This window comes from Homo sapiens, chromosome 9, assembly GCF_000001405.40.
Source record: "Homo sapiens chromosome 9, GRCh38.p14 Primary Assembly".
Taxonomy (NCBI): Eukaryota; Metazoa; Chordata; class Mammalia; order Primates; family Hominidae; genus Homo; species Homo sapiens.
The window spans coordinates 136,176,471-136,194,308 of record NC_000009.12 but is presented as its reverse complement, the minus strand read 5'-3'; the positions used below and the strand labels follow the sequence as shown (position 1 = coordinate 136,194,308).

At 59.1% G+C, this 17,838-nt stretch overlaps 3 annotated features.

Moving 5' to 3' along the window:
* Positions 2,094–3,039: an enhancer, noted in NCBI's record as "H3K27ac-H3K4me1 hESC enhancer chr9:139083116-139084061 (GRCh37/hg19 assembly coordinates)". NCBI's record gives its function as "activates a minimal SCP1, AML or CMV promoter by ChIP-STARR-seq in naive H9 embryonic stem cells {active_cell/tissue: H9 hESC(naive)}" and the evidence as "EXISTENCE:reporter gene assay evidence [ECO:0000049][PMID:30033119]".
* Positions 3,040–3,986: an enhancer, noted in NCBI's record as "H3K27ac-H3K4me1 hESC enhancer chr9:139082169-139083115 (GRCh37/hg19 assembly coordinates)". NCBI's record gives its function as "activates a minimal SCP1, AML or CMV promoter by ChIP-STARR-seq in primed H9 embryonic stem cells {active_cell/tissue: H9 hESC(primed)}" and the evidence as "EXISTENCE:reporter gene assay evidence [ECO:0000049][PMID:30033119]".
* Positions 6,545–7,045: an enhancer, noted in NCBI's record as "H3K4me1 hESC enhancer chr9:139079110-139079610 (GRCh37/hg19 assembly coordinates)". NCBI's record gives its function as "activates a minimal SCP1, AML or CMV promoter by ChIP-STARR-seq in primed H9 embryonic stem cells {active_cell/tissue: H9 hESC(primed)}" and the evidence as "EXISTENCE:reporter gene assay evidence [ECO:0000049][PMID:30033119]".

The following is a 17,838-nucleotide window of genomic DNA, read 5'->3' as shown; positions in this document are numbered from 1 at the left end:
CCCTGTGGCGCATGGCCTTCGACCCCCAGGCTCTGGCAGCCACGCTGTGTCTAAGGAGGCACCGAGCACCCCTGGGAAGCGCAGAGACGCGCGGATCACCAGGGCGGTCCCGGGAGGGGAGAAGGGCCCCGACGGCCACTGGGAATGGCGGCAACACTGGAGCCGAGCGTGGAAGCAGATGGGGTTGGACGCGAGGATGGCGCGTGGCGACGGCGACCAGTGCGGGCAAAGGCGCGCCGGCGGGAAAGTGCGAGGTTCGGGGCCGGCCTGCGGAGTCGGTGTCCCCAGGGCAGAGACTCCAGCCAGCGGCCCCGCGGCCAGGGACGGGCGCTGGAGGGACGACCCCGAACTCTCCGGGGGCAACGGGCAGCCCGCGGGGAAAGCGGCTCCGGGCCCAGGTCGAAGGCGGAATTTAGGGAGGGGGCGCGGCCGCCGGGGTGCAGCGCGGGCTGGCGGGGGGCAGCCCCGAGGAGGGGGCGCAAATCCCCCAGCCGCGCCCCCACCCCGCCCCGGCCTCCGGCCCCTCCCCCAGGCCGCCCGGGACCTTTTAGGCGCTGACAGGTTAATAAAGTGCCGACTGTTCCCGCGGGGACCCCGCCCGCGCCCGCTCCAGCTGGCGGCGCGTCGATAATCCCGGAGCCCGTGGCCGCCCCCGACACCGCCCTGGCCGCCGCGGGGAGGGGAGCGGGGCCTGCGGAGGCGGCCTCGGCGATGGGAGACCCGCGGTGCCCTGGAGAGCGCGTCTGCGTGACCTCGCCGGCCTCCGGTTCCCGATCGGAGCGCAGCGCGCGCCGCTCTGGCCGTACCCGGTTCCGCCCCGCGCGGGCCTGGGGGGAGCCCTGTGACCTCCCCGCGCCCCAGGGACAGAAACGCGGGCTCCGACCTCCTCCGGCTCCTGCTCCGTACCCGCGAGGGCGAACCCAGAATCAGACTTCGGGCCGCGGCCCCCACCCGGACCCCCGCCAGGCCGGGGGACGCCCAGCCAGAGCTGCAGACCTCGGGCGGAGAGAGACCTTGGGCCGCGGGGCTGTCTGCGGGCTCTGGGCTGCAGCGAGGTGAGGGGAAGGAGAAGGCGGACCCCTCATCCTCCCTGGGTCCGAGCCCCCTTCCTTCCAGGGTGGAGACGCCTTCTCGCGGACGGTGGAAGCTTTAGCCGCGCGCCTGCGGGTTGTCAGCCCCGAATTCGGGGTTCCTGGCGCCCAGTCTCCCCGCGGAGCGGGAGGTGCGGGGGCAGGTCGAAGGCTGATGTCCCCCCCCCCCCGCGGCTGGGGTCTCCCGGTCTCGGACCCTGGTGGGGCGGCGGGTGAGGCAGGGCCGGGGCCGCAGTGGGAGAGGGGTCGTCCGGGCGCGGGGAGACCCCGAGATGGGACCTGCCCGGCTCTGCTGGCGTCGCTGGCAGAGGGAACCCGGAGGGCGAGGGCTCTGCGCAGCCCGGGGTGCAGGGAGCCGGGGCCGGGGTCATACTCCCCGGCACGCGTTCTGTCTTTTTTTTTTTTTCCCGCTCGTTGGGGTCCCGACCCGAGAGGCAGCGGGGTCGCTGACCAGAGAGGACCGACCCTTGCCCAGGACCCCATCCCCCTTGCAGCGGGGGCGGGGCTGGGGGTGGCACAGGGCTCTGGGTGGCGTCCCCTTGGCGGGACGGGGGAGGAGCTTGCTAACTTTGAATCTGGCAACTGTATTACATCATCCAACTTAAATATCTGAATAATAAAGTAATTTCAACCAGCACATTAAAAGGGATTATTTTCTCTTAAATATGAAATTCATACGAAGAGCTGCTTTTAGCCCGAAGGACCTTCCCGAATCAGGGGATGCCTTAGAAGTCACAGAGGCACCCCTCCCTCTCCCTAAGAGCAGGGACACCCCCTGCCCTCCCCTCCTCTCCCTCCTCACCATCTGCCGGCAGGTCCAGCCCCCCTCCCCAAGGGTGGACAGGAGCGGGTGGGGGCCCAAATCCCCGGGCTTGCCTGGCCGAGTAGCAGCCCTGATAAATCAGAGGTTTTTCAGGGGAATCAGCCTGCAGCGCTAAATCCCAGGGGCTGTAATGATCAATTCTTTAAGCCCATAATTGTTTAAATTACTCTGAGCAACATAAAACATTAATTTTAAGAAATTTAATAGAAAAAAGCTCTTTAAATCCACAACGAGATAAATGACACCCAGTATGGCGACCTTTTTCCATACCTTGGTGACATTGAATAATCTGAAAGTTATTTACATTTTCATCCTTCGTGGAAAATGTTGACAAGCTTTTGGCCGTGGGCGAGGTGCGTGGTGGCTCCGGAGCGCCCCCTCCCCCCTAATTAATGGGGGAGCAGTGACTTTATAAGCAGAATTTTCATCAGTCTGCCTGTGCGACCTCGGGTGACGGCTCCCACCCTCCTGGAGCTGATGCAACTGCCGGTCATTTTTTACCATAAAAATATTCTGTCCTGGCCAGCGGAGCCCCCTCTTGGCATTCAAAAGTAGGTGTGAGACGAAGACGCAGCTGTCACATTCAGGGTGTAGGATGGAGCCCAAGGCCAAACCTAGGAGAAGACTCCTGATTCTGCAGCCCCCGGGCAGAGTCTGCCCTGCACGTGCGCGTGAGAGGCTGCAGTGCTGTGGGGGGCGGCCCTGCCTGGGAGCCACAGGCCCCAGATGCCGCACAGCCCTCCAAACCCAATTCCACACACTTCCCCCTACACCATCCTGGGGTGCCATCTCAGGAGGGCTGGGGTCCCCCAGGTCACATCGTCGGGGCTGGGTGGGTCCAGGAGCCGGGGAGCCACGGTGGGATGCCCTGGGCAGAAAAGGCCCCAGAGCACTGGCTCGGGAGAACTGGCTCCTCATCCTTCTTATCCATGCTACTCACTGGCCACACTGTGTGACCGTGGACAAGCCGCTCAGCCTCTCTGAGTCTGTGAAGAGCAAGTACAATCTCCTTCCCAGGGTTACCATGGGGCTTGAGGAGGCAAAGCCTGGGATGGGTGGGTAAAGGGCACACCCACTCCGACCTGCACACCCACATCTGCTCATCCACACGCTCATCGCTCTCCAAGAGGTCACACACCCACTGCACGGTACACACACAAACATCCCCCACGCTCTCCCAGAGCGTAAGTGCGGGAGGTGGTGGTTGGATTGGAACTAGACCGTGGCGATGGTTGCACAGGGCACACTTTAAAGTGGTTCATTTTACGTGATGTGAACTTTACCTCAATTAAAATTAAAATTACTCCCTCCCAGGCCGCCCTGGAGGATGAGCCTGCCTCCCAGTGGGAGAGGCAGACGGGAAGTCTTGTGGTTAGCCTGGTGCGGGCCACGTCCCACCTGGCTCCAAAAGCTGCCATCTCTGGGAGCCGCTCCCCACCTCACCCCTCTGAAGAGTCTTGGCCCAGGGCAGCAGGACTGAGCCCCGCTAGCCTCTCCTGCACAGGTCAACCACACGGGTTTGGCCTGTGCATAGGGCTGGGCCGTGGGCAGCAGCGTGTCTGTGCCCAGCACCTGATCACGGCTGGCCTGTGTCGGACAGGATGTCCTTACCCACCTCCTGCAGCCCCAGGGCTTCCCTGGAAGGCTTGCGTCTCCACAGGTTTGCCTTCACTTGGGAGAGCCCAGACAGGTGGGCAGGGAACTGGGGTCCTTGGGGCCCAGCAGGCATGTGCTTCTCCAGTGCCCCCCAAACCCACTGACTGCCTGTGCCTGGTGGTCATTTATAGAGTGGCTCTGTCCTGTCCTCAGCCAAAAGCTCTGCAAGAGCTTGGTCCTCAGGCTGGCCCACCCTGACCGCCGGCTTTGTCAGACCTTCAGAGAGGTCAGAGGTTGAGACCTGTGATGTTCTAGGGGTGACACCATGACTCATGCCACCCTCCCCATTTTCTTCCTCTGCTTGGGGAACAATGCTGGCTGCAGATATGGTGGGTGGCTGAGCGTTAGGAGATATGGTGGGTGGCTGAGCATTAGGAGATATGGAGGGTGGCTGAGCGTTAGGGATGGCCACTCTTGAAGGCTCAGCTAGGTCTCCCAGAGGACGGGGTGGTGGGACCAGCCAGCCGCCACCTGCTCTGAGCCCGAGAGGGCTGACCCTGGGATGAGGCAGGGGGAGGGGGAGGGGGAGGACGGCAGAAAGGGCGGTGGGTCCTCCGGGAGCCCCACCTCAGGCGGTTCCTTACAGCACTTACTCCCCCGGGTCTGACCCTGGGAGACAGCAATCCTGCCCCCCAGGTCTGGCACCCTGGAAGGGTGTGGCCGGAGGGCCCTTGAAGTCGCCTCTTCAGGGCAAAGGCCCCAGAGCCAGGCCCCTCCTGGGGGCTGCCTGGGGATCTAGGGCCCTGAGACTCCTAGGCCTGACGAAAGCTCCTTTTTGGCTGTGGCAGCCAGAGGCCCCTCTGTGGTTTGTGCCCGAGACGCCCAATGCGTCCTGCAGGGCAGAGAGCAGCTGACACCAGGGAGCTCCAGGCCTCTGCTAGGGTGGGGCTCGCTCCTCTCCCTGGCAAACGCTTTGTTCAGAGCTCAGTAATCCTCGGAATGACAAGGTTTAAAATTTAATTAGCAGGCTCCTCTTACGCAAACTCTCCTCATTAAACTAAGTGTCCCATTAGTTAAAGTGAAACTTGATGGCGGTGGGATTGGGATTGTGGTGGAGATGGATAAGGCAGCTGGGAGTTTTATGGGCGGGTGGGCGCCTTTCCTGCCGCCCAGGCTGGTGTCAGAACACGGACAGGCGGGGTCCCCCCAGTCTTTCAGGTAACATGGTCTCAGAACCGAGGGAGGGCTGGGCTGGCTGTGGCAAGGCTCTCGGGGGGCTGAGACATTCAGGCCTGGGACCTCTGCAGCCAGGGTGTGTGGAGAGGCCACCGCCTGCAGAGATGATGTCGCCAGTGAGCACACCGAGCCCTGACCCCACCGGGCATTTGAAAGGCAGCGTGGCTGGCAGGGGCTGCCTCCTTCCCCACCAGGGCTCGGGGCAGAGAGACCCGGGTGGCCACTGGGTTCCTCCAGTCCCATCTCCCAGGGGCCAGGCTGGCCTCGCTCAGCGTGTATAAACTCACGCGCATGGCTGATTTTTTGTTACGAAAGTAACATATGCTCATTGTGGAGAATTTGGAAAACAGAACCCCGACGCGGCCCCACAGGTCCTCTATCCAGACCCCATTTTGCTGCTGCTCCTTCCAGGGTTTTCCTACACGGTACACATGCACATTTTGCCCCAGGTGGGTTTATCTTTTTAATTAAAAAATAATTTTTTATTTTATTTTATTTTGAGACAGAGTCTGGCTCTGCCCCCCTTGCTGGAGTGCAGTGGCGTGATCTCGGCTCACTGCAACCTCTGCCGCCTGGGTTCAAGCGATTCTCCTGCCTTACTAAGGCCTCCTGAGTAGCTGAGATTTACAGGCGCCTGCCACCGCGCCCGGCTAATTTTTGTAGTTTTTAGTAGAGACGGGGTTTCACCATCTTGGCCAGGCTGGTCTTGAACTCCTGACCTCGTGATCCGCCCCCACCCCCACCCCCCAGCCTCCCAAAGTGCTGGGATTACAGGTGTGAGTCACCGAACCCGGCCCAAAATTTTATTTTTATTTACTTATTTTGAGACAAGGTTTCACTCAGTTGCCCAGGCTGGGGTGCGGTGGTGCCATCATAGCTCACTGCAGCCTCCAACTCCTGGACTCAAGTGAAACTCCTGCCTCAGCCTCCTGAGTCACTGGGACTTCAGCAACCACAGCTGGAACCACATCTGGCTTTTTTTTTTTTTTTTTTTTGGGCGGGGGTAGAGACGGGGTGTTCCTTTGGTGCCCCGGCTGGTGTCTAACTCCTGGCTTCAAGCAATCCTCCTGCTTTACCTCTCAAAGTGTTGGGATTACAGGCAGGAAATACCACGCCCCGCCCCCGGCCCCAGGGTTGGGTTTCTAGGAGATGTATTGCTTTGTTTTGAGACAGGGTCCTTTGTCACCCAGGCTTAAGTGCAAAACACTGCAGCCTCCACTTCCCAGCCTCAGCCACCCTCCCAGTTCAGCCCCTCCTTCCCTCCAGTAGCTGCAACCACAGGCACACGACACCACACCCAGCTCATGTTTTAAACGTTTTGGAGAGACAGGGACTCATGATGTTGCCCAGGCCAATTTCGAACTTCTGGCCTCAAGTGATCCTCCTGCCTCAGCCTCCAAAAGTGCTGGGATTCCAGGCGTGAGCCATTGCGCCCGGCCGAGATGTACGTCCTTGAAACCTACTTCTTGGCTTGATTGTCACACTATGACCATTTCCCGGGCCATTGGTGACCCTCCAGAGTTGGGGTGGCAGAGCTTTCTGAGGTCGGGCTGGCCCTTTAGGCCTCTCTCATTGTTTCTACTGGGCAGTCATGGTCCACGTCCAAGCTGGACGGAGTAGGGGCAGCTCGTCAGGCCAACAGGGCCATGTTGGCAGCACCTGGGCTCACGAGTCCCCCACCAGCACACACACAGACCGAGACGCACACAGCCTAGAGTCTGGACGGTGGCCCAGGACTCACCCCAGGGAATCAGCATCTCCCCTCCCCAGGGGCACCTCCCTGACCAAAGGAGCAACCCCTCGGGGAGGACTCTTCACATTGCAGCCTTCTTCTTCATTTCTAGAATGTTCCCGTGCCCAGGCCACTCCCCCTTCCCATCTGTAATCCTCCCTGTCGCTGAGGGGGCCTCTGAGCATGTGGGGACCCTGTTCACGGTCGCCACTGTGGCTCTCCCCGGCCCCCGGTCTTCCTCCCTCCCTGTCCTGGTTGGGTGACGTTGAGTTTCTCACGCTGCAGCGAAGGGGCCATCGTTCTCAGCGCATCCTGCGTGCTTTGCCAGAATCTTTAAAATTTTGTGTTTTGGAGCTGACCCTGCCTGTGCGTTTAGAACCACTTGAGGGGCTAGAAACAAATCGCGTGGCGGTGGGGACCCTCCCCCAAGAGCCCCAGGTTTGAGACCTGGTACCTGGGGTTCCTACAGCTCCCAGGTGCCAAGAACCCCAGGTTTGAGGCCCGGTACCCAGGGTTCCTACAGCTCCCAGGTGGCAATGAGGGTGGGCTGGACGCTGGACAGCGCGACGGGCATGGACTTCTTGGGTGCGGCAATGACACGGTTGACGGAGGAAGGAGCCTTCTTGTCACTGAAATGAACGGTTAGTTGGAATGCAGTGTTCTGAATTTTAGCCAAAGCTGTTTTGATTTTATCATTACCGAAGGCCACAGGCCCGGGGATGTTCACCTGCATTCTGATTTTCACATATTGAAATTATAATAAAGACGGCTGAGGTCAGCTTGGAGGACCTGAGAAAAGTTTCCCTCTGAAACACTGTCTCCACGCCCGTTTCCGGGACAGTCGAGTGGGCCTGGAGCCCTCATGGTTTATGGATGCACCGCAGAGCAGCTAACTGGCTTCCATCAGCACCAGAACTCTCTGAAGCCCCATTCTCTCACCTGCAGTGTGGGGTCGGGAATACATTTATCTCGTGGGCCTGTCCTTAGGGTTAAGGGAGCAAATGCTGTTCCCAGCCTGGGGATTGACCTTGAACGAGGCAGCAGGGTCCCTTCCAGTGTCAGAGGTCAGGAAGGAGCTGAGCTGCAGTGGCAGCGGTGGCCAAGGGAGGCTCCCGGAGAGGCCGTGCTCCCACGAGGTCTGAGGCATCCCCACCTGGGAAGGGCATCCCGGCGAGAGCGGATGTGGGAAGAGCTCAGGTCCAAAGAGGCTGAGCCAGAGCTGGGTGGGGGCCCTTGGGTTGCCCAGAGGGCTGCCTGCCCCCCTCGGGGGGCTCGGTCCAGGGCAGCAATATGATTAGGGACCAGCTGATGTCCCTGGCGGAGGCGGTGGTGGTCGGGGCCTGGGGTTAGGCATGGAGGTAGAGATGTGTGTGGATGTGGTCATGAGCTTGTGACGGCTTTGGGGGGCACTGAGAGAAAGTGAGGGGTCTCTCTCGGGGAGGGAACAACTGAAGGAAGCCCCTTTTACCCATCGTGGGACGGGGGACTGGGAGGGGCCAAGGGGAGTGGTGCATTTGGGGTCACACAGTAAGTTTTGGCAGCTTTGAATGTGACCTCTCCAAGCACAGCAGCAGTGTGAAGAGGTGCCCTGGGAGGGGGGTGTGGGCTAGGGTGGAGGGGTGGGGAGGAGGGGTGGGCAAGAGGCGAGTCCCAGAGAAGGAGGAGAACCACGTGGTGTGTCCCAGCCATCAAGAGAGGAAGCTTGGAAAGGCTGAGGCCTAAAACCGTTTCCCGCAGTAACGGCTGGAACAGCGGCAGCTGCTGTCCATTGCTGCTACCGATCCTATTCACAGCTCCAGCGCCACTGCCCGCCACCGCGCGGTGCCAGCGCCCACTTGCCCTCCTGCTGTGCAGAGCTCGCCTCTGGGCTCTGGGGCCCTCGCTCTGTCCCCTCCACCCCAGGAGCCGCCCTGGGTGGCACCTCCACCATTGGCCCCGTTCCCTCCTCCTACCCTGAGGCAGGCGTGTGGCTGCCCTGTGGCACCCTCGGGCAGCGGGCCAGGGAGGGCACCCAGTGGGCCTGGGGAGCTGGCTCCGGAGGTGGGGCTCAGTCACCTGAGGGGCAGGTGCCGCCTGGGTGGCCCAGGGACGTGGCCGGCCACTGCGAAGAAGGCAGGCCCTGGTGGCCGCCTGGACCATCCAACCCCACGCCCATCCCTGCCGCCCGCGCCCCCATGCCTGCATCTGGCCATCCATCTGTCCCTTTGTGTGCAGGCCCCAGGCAGGCAGGCACTACGTGAGGGTCTAGAAGGGTCGGACCCCCGAGGCCTGCCCAGACCCGCCCCCTGTCACTGTTCCTTAACAAACCCTTTGAGGGATTTTTAAACGGAACCATCTCCTTTGACTCCCCCAGTCGTGGGGCAGCAACAAGAGGTGTTAATGGGCCCGGGGTCGATGGGGACAGCTGTGGGGGACTGGGGAGCTGAGACAGCCGGCGAGACCCTGCCACCCCTTCCTCCTGTTCCCGGGAATACCTCAGCTGCCCCCAGAACGCTGGGGCACTCGGCCTGTCCTCCACTGAGCTCCCACCGAGCTGACATCTAGCGTCAGGAGTGGCGAGTGCCGTGCAGGGGTGAGGAGGGGCCGGGAGCTGACCAGAGTGGGGGGTCAGGCTTTCCAGATGGGGGAGATGTTGACAGAGGTCAGGGCTCAGGCAGCAGCAGCTCGAGTGGGGAGGTGGCGTTAGGAGGCGGCCCGGCCTCGCACAGGCTCTGACTTCTTACAGGCTGCAACTCTGCGTCTGGCCTGGGGGTCGGGGCCACATGGTCCCCCCTAAAACAACTCCTCATTGTTTCATTTGGAGTAGGCGTAATTGAACTCAACAACACGGAGAACTGGTTCTAGGAATGTCGATGCATCTGGGGTAAAGGAACCTGCCTGTTTGCTCTCTTCTGTTTTTGTCTTGGTTAAAGTAACTTGGCCCGTTAGTCAGAAGTTAGCTGCGATTCCAAAAGGAAATGGTTAATTCATCGACTTAAGCTGTTAGGTCAATCCATGATCAACTTTGTAAACTAGATCGAAAATATAAGAGGGCTGAAGAGTCTTCATGTTTGCAAGTTTAATGTGTTTTTAAGATATGAAAGAATGGTCCATGTTCATGAGACGTTTGCTTTATGTCCAACAACTGAAGCAATTAAAAGGGAAGCCAATTTTTTTTTTTTTTTGAGACGGAGTCTTGCTCTGTCGCCAGGCTGGAGTGCAGTGGCGCAATCTCGGCTCACTGCAACCTCCGCCTCCCGGGTTCAAGCAATTCCCCTGCCTCAGCCTCCCAAGTAGCTGGGACTACAGGTACCTGCCACCATGCCCGGCTAATTTTTGTATTTTTGGTAGAGACGGGGTTTCACCATGTTGGCCAGGATGGTCTCAATCTCCTGAACTTGTGATCCGCCCACTTCGGCCTCCCAAAGTGCGGGGATGACGGGCGTGAGCCACCGCGCCCAGCCAGGAAACCAAATTTTAAGTTTAAATGTTGAAGGAAATTTAATTGAGTAGTGGAAGTTCCTTCACATTGTTTTTAAAATTTACTAAGATTCCTAATGGAATCATATTTGTAAACTGAACGTAAAAGCTTAACGAACAGCTACAGTTTTAAATTAGTTGAATATTTCAAAAACCAAAATAACTATGCTGAATAATCTTTTCTATGCAAAAACAAAAACAAAAACATTCAAGAGCATGGAATACTGATAGTTAACAAATTACATTTTTCTTTCTTTTTTTTTTTATTTTTGAGATAAAGCTTCGCTCTTGTCGCCCAGGCTGGAGTGCAGTGGTGTGATCTCGGCTCACTGCAACCTCTGCCTCCCGGGTTCAAGCGATTCTCCTGCCTCAGCCTCCAGAGTAGATGGGACTACAGACGCGCACCACCAAGCCCAGCTAATTTTTGTATTTTTAGTAGAGACGTTTCATCATGTTGGCCAGGCTGGTCTCGAACTCCTGACCTCAGGTGATCCACCTGCCTTAGCCTCCCAAAGTGCTGGGATTACAGATGTGACCTACCCCGCGCCCGGCCAACAAATTAAATTTTTCTTATGCAACTTCACACTTGGGCTATTGGGTGCTCTGAGCGTTCTGTGGGTGTGAGATGACAGGCCCCCCATTCCTGCCCCCCACTTCCTGTTAGGGGTTGAACTGTGTCCCTCAAAAAAATATGCCCACGTCCTAACCCCTGTCCCAGTGAATATGGCCTTATCTGGAAATATGGTCTTTGTTGATGAGAGCAAGTTGAGATGAGGCCACGCTGGAGTAGGGGGCCCTGATCCAAGGCAGATCCTTCTCAGACTGTCCTTGCCCCGGATCCAGGCATTTCCTCTTCTTAGAGGGGGATTTGGACCAAAGGCACATGGGAGGCGTTACCAGAAGGCCAAGTGATGGCAGAGGCAGGTGTGGCGGAAGCCAACGGGCAAACGCCAGCAGCCACCAGGAGCGGGGAGAGAGGCGTGGGACAGGACGATGATTCTCCCCCAGCCCTTGGAGGCAGCCACCCCAGCAGGCCACCTTGATTTCAGACTGTGGCCCCCCGACACCGGCAGGATGCCTTTCCGTTGTGTAAACTGCCAAGCTGGCGGCACTTTATGATAGCAGCCCCAGGACACTAATGTGTCTCCAAGGGGTTTACTTTCGGCTCCCCCTGCCCGGGCCGGTCCCTGGCCAGTGCTGACTTGTGCCTTGAGGTCTGGCCAGGCCCGTGGACGTGGTGCACTAGGGTCCCTACTTGGGGCTGGGCACACAGGAGAGCAGGGCCCCGTGTGGCCCTGAGCAAGTCATCCTGGGCACAGGCTCCAGCCCAGGGCACCTGCTGGGGCCTCACCTCTCCAGGGCCTGGGGCTGCTGTCCAGCCTTGGCAGCAATGACCCCTGTCCTGCCACCAGCTGGGGCCCTTCCTTCTCACCCTTCAGCCCGGGCAGGCATCTGCAGCCCCCGCCCATCACGCCTCGGTCCCCTGACTCTCCCAGCAGCTTTTTATTGGCTGCGGGTGGTTGGAGGGGGCAGGCAGGGGTGCCCGGCCAGTGCCTTGGCAGCTCCCTAAGGCCCCCAAGACCCTGCCCTGGCCTCCCAAATCCGCCAATATTAGAAAGGATTTGTGTCCCCGATAAATAATGCAAAGTTAAATTACATCCGCTGAGGCTTAAAATTTCATATTCCTATTTCTCATCTCCATAAAGAAATTCCACTCGCGGGCCTCACCGGTTGGCCTCTGCCAGCTGCCGCGGATACTCCTAATGAAATTGCTCCTCTGGGCGGGGCGGCCCGAGGTGCCGTGCAGGGTGGCCGCCCACAGGGGAAAAGGTAAAAGGCCAGAGTTCAAATTATTTATCTCCCTAATAACTTAATAGATTGCATGCATGATGTCAGAGGCTGGCAGGCAGGCAGGCCTCCAGCCAGTCGGGGTGGGTGATCTATGAGGAGGCGGGAAGAGGGACCCCACCCCAAGGGTACAGCTAGGGCGTGCCTGCAGAGCTGGGGACCCCTATGTACACGTCCAGGAGAGGTGGGCCCTGTGAGCTGTGCCCCTACAGTGTCCTTCATAAAACCCCGCATCCTGGGGGTTGTGGCTCCTCCTGCCCCAGATGAGGCAGGGCCGGCTTCTGCAGACTTCCTAATGCTTTCCTGGGACCGGGATCCAATAGGTGCTCAGAAAATGTAGGATGAACCATGTCACCAGCCCAGGGCTGTGCAGGGCGCAGGGAGAAGGGAGCCCCTGGGCCTGCCTCAAGGGTCCTGAGGTCCAACAGAATGAGCTGGAGTCCAAGGCAGAATCAGGAGAGGCCCCGAGGGTGAGGGTGGGTCTAGTGCAGGAGAGGGAGGAGGTGGCCTCTGCAGGGGAGTAGCCCCAGGAAGGAGGACAAGCCGGGAGGCCAAGGCCCAGAGAGGAGCAAGCCTGCCTGCCTTCCTTCTTTCCTTCCTTCCTTTCTTACTTCCCTCCTTCCCTCCTTCCTTCTCTCCCTTCCTTCCCTCCTTCCCTTCCTTCCTTTCTTCCCTCCTTCCCTTCCTTCCCTCCTCCCCTCCCTCTCCTTCCTCCCTCCCTTCCTCCCTCCCTCCCTCCCTCCTCCCCTCCCTCCCTCCCTCCTTCCTTCCTTCCTTCCTTCCTTCCTTCCTTCCTTCCTTCCTTCCTTCCTTTCCTTCCTCCCCAAGCAAATAAATACTTTTGTTAACATGGTAAAGTTTTTTTTTGTTTTTGTTTTTGTTTTTTTTTGAGATGGAGTCTCGCTCTGTTGCCCAGGCTGGAGTGCAGTGGTGCAATCTCGGCTCACTGCAAGCTCCACCTCCCAGATTCACACCATTCTCCTGCCTCAGCCTCCCGAATAGCTGGGACTACAGGTGCCCATCACCACGCCCAGCTAATTTTTTGTATTTTTAGTAGAGATGGGGTTTCACCGTGTTAGCTGGGATGGTCTTGATCTCCTGACCTCGTGATTCGCCTGCCTCGGCCTCCCACAGTGCCGGGAATACAGGCGTGAGCCACCGCGCCCGGCCAAAAACATGGTAGGGTTTTGACCTCAAATATTTACCTGGTCTGTTACTCATATGAACTTGTAGCTGGACATGTGAACCTTGAAGATGCTGCTTCCCGTGCAGTTCAGGCTCCAGCACAGACAGTCTCTACTCTCATCCCCCGGCCCCCTTTGCACAAATTTCTTCGTTTTATGCCGAGTTCCCCGAAATGCATCAGGATATCGCATCAACTTGTACAGAGTATCAAGATCTCATTCTCTATGAGAGGACAGGACAGGCCTCCGAGGCCCCGGAAACCAAGCAGAGAACGTGGGTAAAATTTAAATCATTTTTAATGATTAAAACAAGTGATTTAGTGATGAAAATCATCTAATTGAATGATTAAAACCCCTCCTGGTATGCCCTTCCAGCCTGCAGAACGTTCTGGCGAATGGAGGTGAGAAGGTCCCTCTGATGCGGCAGCTCCTGCATCCCAGGCCCCTCTCCGCCCAGGACCAGGGTCTCTCGGCTGTTTCTAGCCTCCCCAGGCCTTGGTGGCTATCCCTCTGGGCTCCCGTACCTCTGAGCCCGTCAAGGTGGGCCAGGAGGGCCTGCATAGGGCTGGAGGCAGCGCCTCAACCTGCCCTACCACTCGGCCCTGCACCCCTGGCTCCCCCACGCCAGATCCAGCCCCTCAGGTGACCCCTCCCCTTGGGGCCCCCAGGGAAGCCTCCAATTCTGATCAGACCCTCCAGGCCTCCTGCCTCCCTCTGGAGGGCCCAGGTACCCCCTCACCTCGTATTTATGGCCACTTAATCTGTGTGAGCAGCCGGGCCCCAATATATCTCCAAGTATTGATCAGCTTTGGGCTGATAGTTCAAGCTCACAAGGTCTCGCTCTTTGACCCCCAAATAGGGTATGAATCTCAATCGAATAGACAGATATTCACACGGCTCCTACCCCGGGCTGGAGACCACAGGAAAATCAATGAAGAGTGTTGGTGACTCACGATTTATAGAACGCCTGCCATTTTAATATTAGAATAAATGTTCTATTGCCCAGGGAGGGGGTGCAGAGGGTCGCATGGCAAATATTTCTTACAGAGTCTTTTCTGCTGGAAAATGATGTGCACGGGATTTTATGAAGTCAAATTTATAGACCTCATTTAGGCTTATAATTTAAAACTCCTGATGAGAAAGACATTAAGTAGAGTGCTTGGGGGGCGGGGGGGCACGGGCTGGGCAAGTGGGTGGTCCCAGAGCTGCAACCTCTGGTGAGGGGAGAGAGCGGGCTGCGGGCAGGGGCTGGGCTGCATGTTCTGCCAGGGCCTGGGCAGCTGGGCACTGGGGAGGCCCCGGGCATGGGGAGGCCTGGTCTGCCCAGGGGCCCACAGGTGACTCAGAGCAGGGGCTGCCAGGTTATCCCAACCCTGGGGTCTCAGGGCTCTGGAACCCCGGAGCACCAGGCCTGATGCGGGAGGGCCCCAAGAAGGTGAGGCTGCCCACAGGTATCCATGAACACACCAGGCAAGTACGCTGTGTGTGCACACACGCGCTCACGCAGGGGGCTGCCCACCCAGTGTGGGGACACACGCACATGGCCACGTTGTGCTCAGTTACACGCGTGCACACATACATGAACGCTGCACACAGGTGTGCACGCTCACACACGTCTGTGCACACACACTTCTGCTCCTTGCCAGACCTTGCTTGACCTCCTCTCTCCTCCGAGGCCACTTCTCTGATTTCCCTGCTGAAGAAAGTTCTCAGCCTGAACTTCCCGCTCCTGGAGAGACCCAGAGTCACATGTGTCCCGGGTTGGAAAGGTTTGCCCTCAGCGTTGCTGGATAAACTTGCAAGAAAGCACCACTGGGGTATGGAGGTTAGGGGGACACTGCCTTATTTTTAAAATTTATTTATTTATTTTACATGCAAAAACACACATTGCAAGGGGGTGCTGTTTTGTAGAATTTAGCTCAGGCCAAAGAAAGGGCTTCACCGTTTTGTCTGATTCCGGCAAGGAGCAAACATCCCACCTGGGAAGCAGGACAAAGGGCAGGCGGCTCCTCCTGAGGCAGCCTGACTTTCAGTGGACGTGTCCCTACTGCAGGGTGGGCGGAAGAACAAGGAGCCATGTACGGGGCCCCGGGGGGTGTCTGGGGTACACTGGACCCATCCCAGCCGGCAAGGGTGACCCTTGGGTCTGTGGTCTGTTGGAGGCTGGCTGGGCCCTCTGTGGGCTCACTACCTCCCCTGTGGCTTTGAGTGAATCCCTTCCCTCCCGGCCTGTTTCCCCAGCTGCAGCTGAAGAGGTTCGGGAGTCTGTCTTTCCTTGCCAGACTGTCCAAGGTCCCGAGATTCCAGGCCCCAGTTTCGGACTCTGGAACCTCCCGGGGGGCCTGTGGCCCAGCCCTGAGCCCTCGCAGTGCCTGCTGGAAAACACCCCTGCTCCTGCTCAGTCCTCCCTGGAAGTGGCAGTTTGAGGGAAGCCCTGAGGCTCGGGAGCTGACACTGCCTGACGGGTGGATTGAGGTTGAATGGCACAGGCTTAGCTTATCTTCTAAGGATGTCATTGTCCCGGACAGGAGAGCCAGGAACGGGGAGGGGGCCCCAGGAGGGTCCCTCCAGCTCTGCGGCTCTTCACTGAGGACTGGGGGCATTTTTTCAGGGATGGAGCTGTGGCAGCTACAGAGGGGGACAAGCCTGGGATGGGGGTGAGCAGCCCTGCCCCTTTGGCCAGCTCAGCTCTGTCTCCTCCTGGCCTTGGCGCCAGGTCCAGCAGGGGCCGCTTTTGATCACAGGCCTGCCCATGCTCTCTGCAATGCTGGGAAAGGGGATCCCTTACCCCCCACAAAGATCTCAATGCCCCAGGCAGCATGGGGGGCTCCCACGGACTTGAGGGGCATCTGGGGCTTCCTTGCCCCCAGCTCTGCCCACAGGGTCGGGGCTGACTTTCAGTGTGTGACTGAGCCCCGGTGGGTTGGGGTTTGTGTGTGAGTGGTAGTGTTACCAGCTGGGGACCTGAGGAGGTAGAGTGAGGAGCCGGGGGCGGGGGTGTGCAGGCTCTGGGGACTCAGCACAAGGGGCCTCTGCCAGTCTGAGACTTGGCATCCTTGCCCGTGAGCCAGGAGTAGGAAGAGCCTCTGACGCCTGGTCACCAGGATTTCGGGGACGAGACATCGTGAAGAGCCCAGCTCGGGGCCTGGAGGCTCCATGAGCGCAGGGGCGGGCTCTGTTGATTGTGAAGCCCACGAAGGCCACGCTGATCCCAGTTCCCCCAGTGCTCCCCCCGCTCTCCACGGCCACGCTGATCCCAGTTCCCCCAGTGCTCCCCCCGCTCTCCACGGCCACGCTGATCCCAGTTCCCCCAGTGCTGTCCCCGCTCTCCACGGCCACGCTGATCCCAGTTCCCCCAGTGCTGTCCCCGCCCGCGACGGCCACGCTGATCCCAGTTCCCCCAGTGCTGTCCCCGCCCGCGACGGCCACGCTGATCCCAGTTCCCCCAGTGCTCCCCTGCCTACAATGCTGGCGCTCTTCCTCCCCGTCTTCCAGGTCTTCCAAAGGCTGATCTTCGGGGCCCCTCCTGGGCCCCAGCACCTCCTTGGCACCCGCGGAGTACGACTCTCCCCACCGCCACCCCAACCAGCACTGCAACCCTAAGCACACGAGCCCTGGCCCAGGAGGCCCCTGCCGAGTTCTCCGTAAGGAGATGATGGTCATGCTGCCTCCTCCATAAACTCAGCCGTGGGACCCAAGGCGCCCGGTGCGGGACAGGGCATATTTTACATTTTCAACTTTATTAAAGGAGCCAGGTGGGCCTGGGAAGGCTGCCTTCCCTCTGTGGTCAATTCTGCCCCTGGAGGCGATAAATCTCCAGGCCTATGATTTGTGGCTCTGCGCTCCCAATAAATTAAATCTTTCCTGATGAAAAGATTGGAGCGCCCGGCTCTGCTTTAGGTCACTGTGTTTGTTCAAAGTAAGCTGAGCAGGAGTCGCCCAGCCAAGCCCCGCTGCCCGCCCCACTGGCCGCCCTCCCTGGAGCACAGGGAGAACACGCAGCTTCCTCGGCAGAGCTGGGCCCTCCGCAGTGACCCGCTCCCGGATCCTCCACCACCAAAGGCATGGCAGCTCTTGGTTGAACAGTCCCAGAAATCTCTGTAGCAATAAGGAACGAAGCCATCCTTGCCCTCCTCAGATGGCAGAGATGGGGACACTCAGGACCTGGGCTGGCAAGGCCCCTGGCAGCACTATCCAGGCCCCGCCTGTGGGGCTGCCTGAGGACTGTGCTGGACGTGAACTTCTGGGTGACATTTGCCCCACGTGAGGCCATCTGGGGGTGTGGGCAGAGGTACTGGTTCGGAGCACTGGGCTGAGGCTGGTTCGACCCGCTAAGACCTCCCCTGACCACTCTCAGAGCCCCAGTTCTAATCAGTGAAAGGAAGACAAGACCACCTGAGAGAGCTGGCCCGGGGCCTGGAGTACGGGGGAGGGTGCCCGCGGCCCATGTGCTCCAAAGCTAGGACTCAGAACAGAAGCAGCAGGGCTGGGGGTCCTGCACCCTGTGCGGACCCAGAACAGAAGCAGCAGGGCTGGGGGTCCTGCACCCTGTGCGGACCCAGAACAGAAGCAGCAGGGCTGGAGGTCCTGCACCCTGTGCGGACAGAACTGAGCCAGCAAAGCCGCAGCCCCCTGCCAGCCCCACTCCTGGTTAAAGTTGGAGGTCACTGGCTGGGCACAGTGGCTCATACCTGTAATCCCAGCACTTTGGGAGGCTGAGGCAGATGAATCACTTGAGGTCAGGAGTTCAAGACCAGCCTGGCCAACATGGTGAAACCCCATCTCTACTAAAAACACAAAAATTAGCCGGGCGTGGTGGCGGGCACCTGTAATCCCAGCTACTTGGGAGGCTGAGGCGGGAAAATCGCT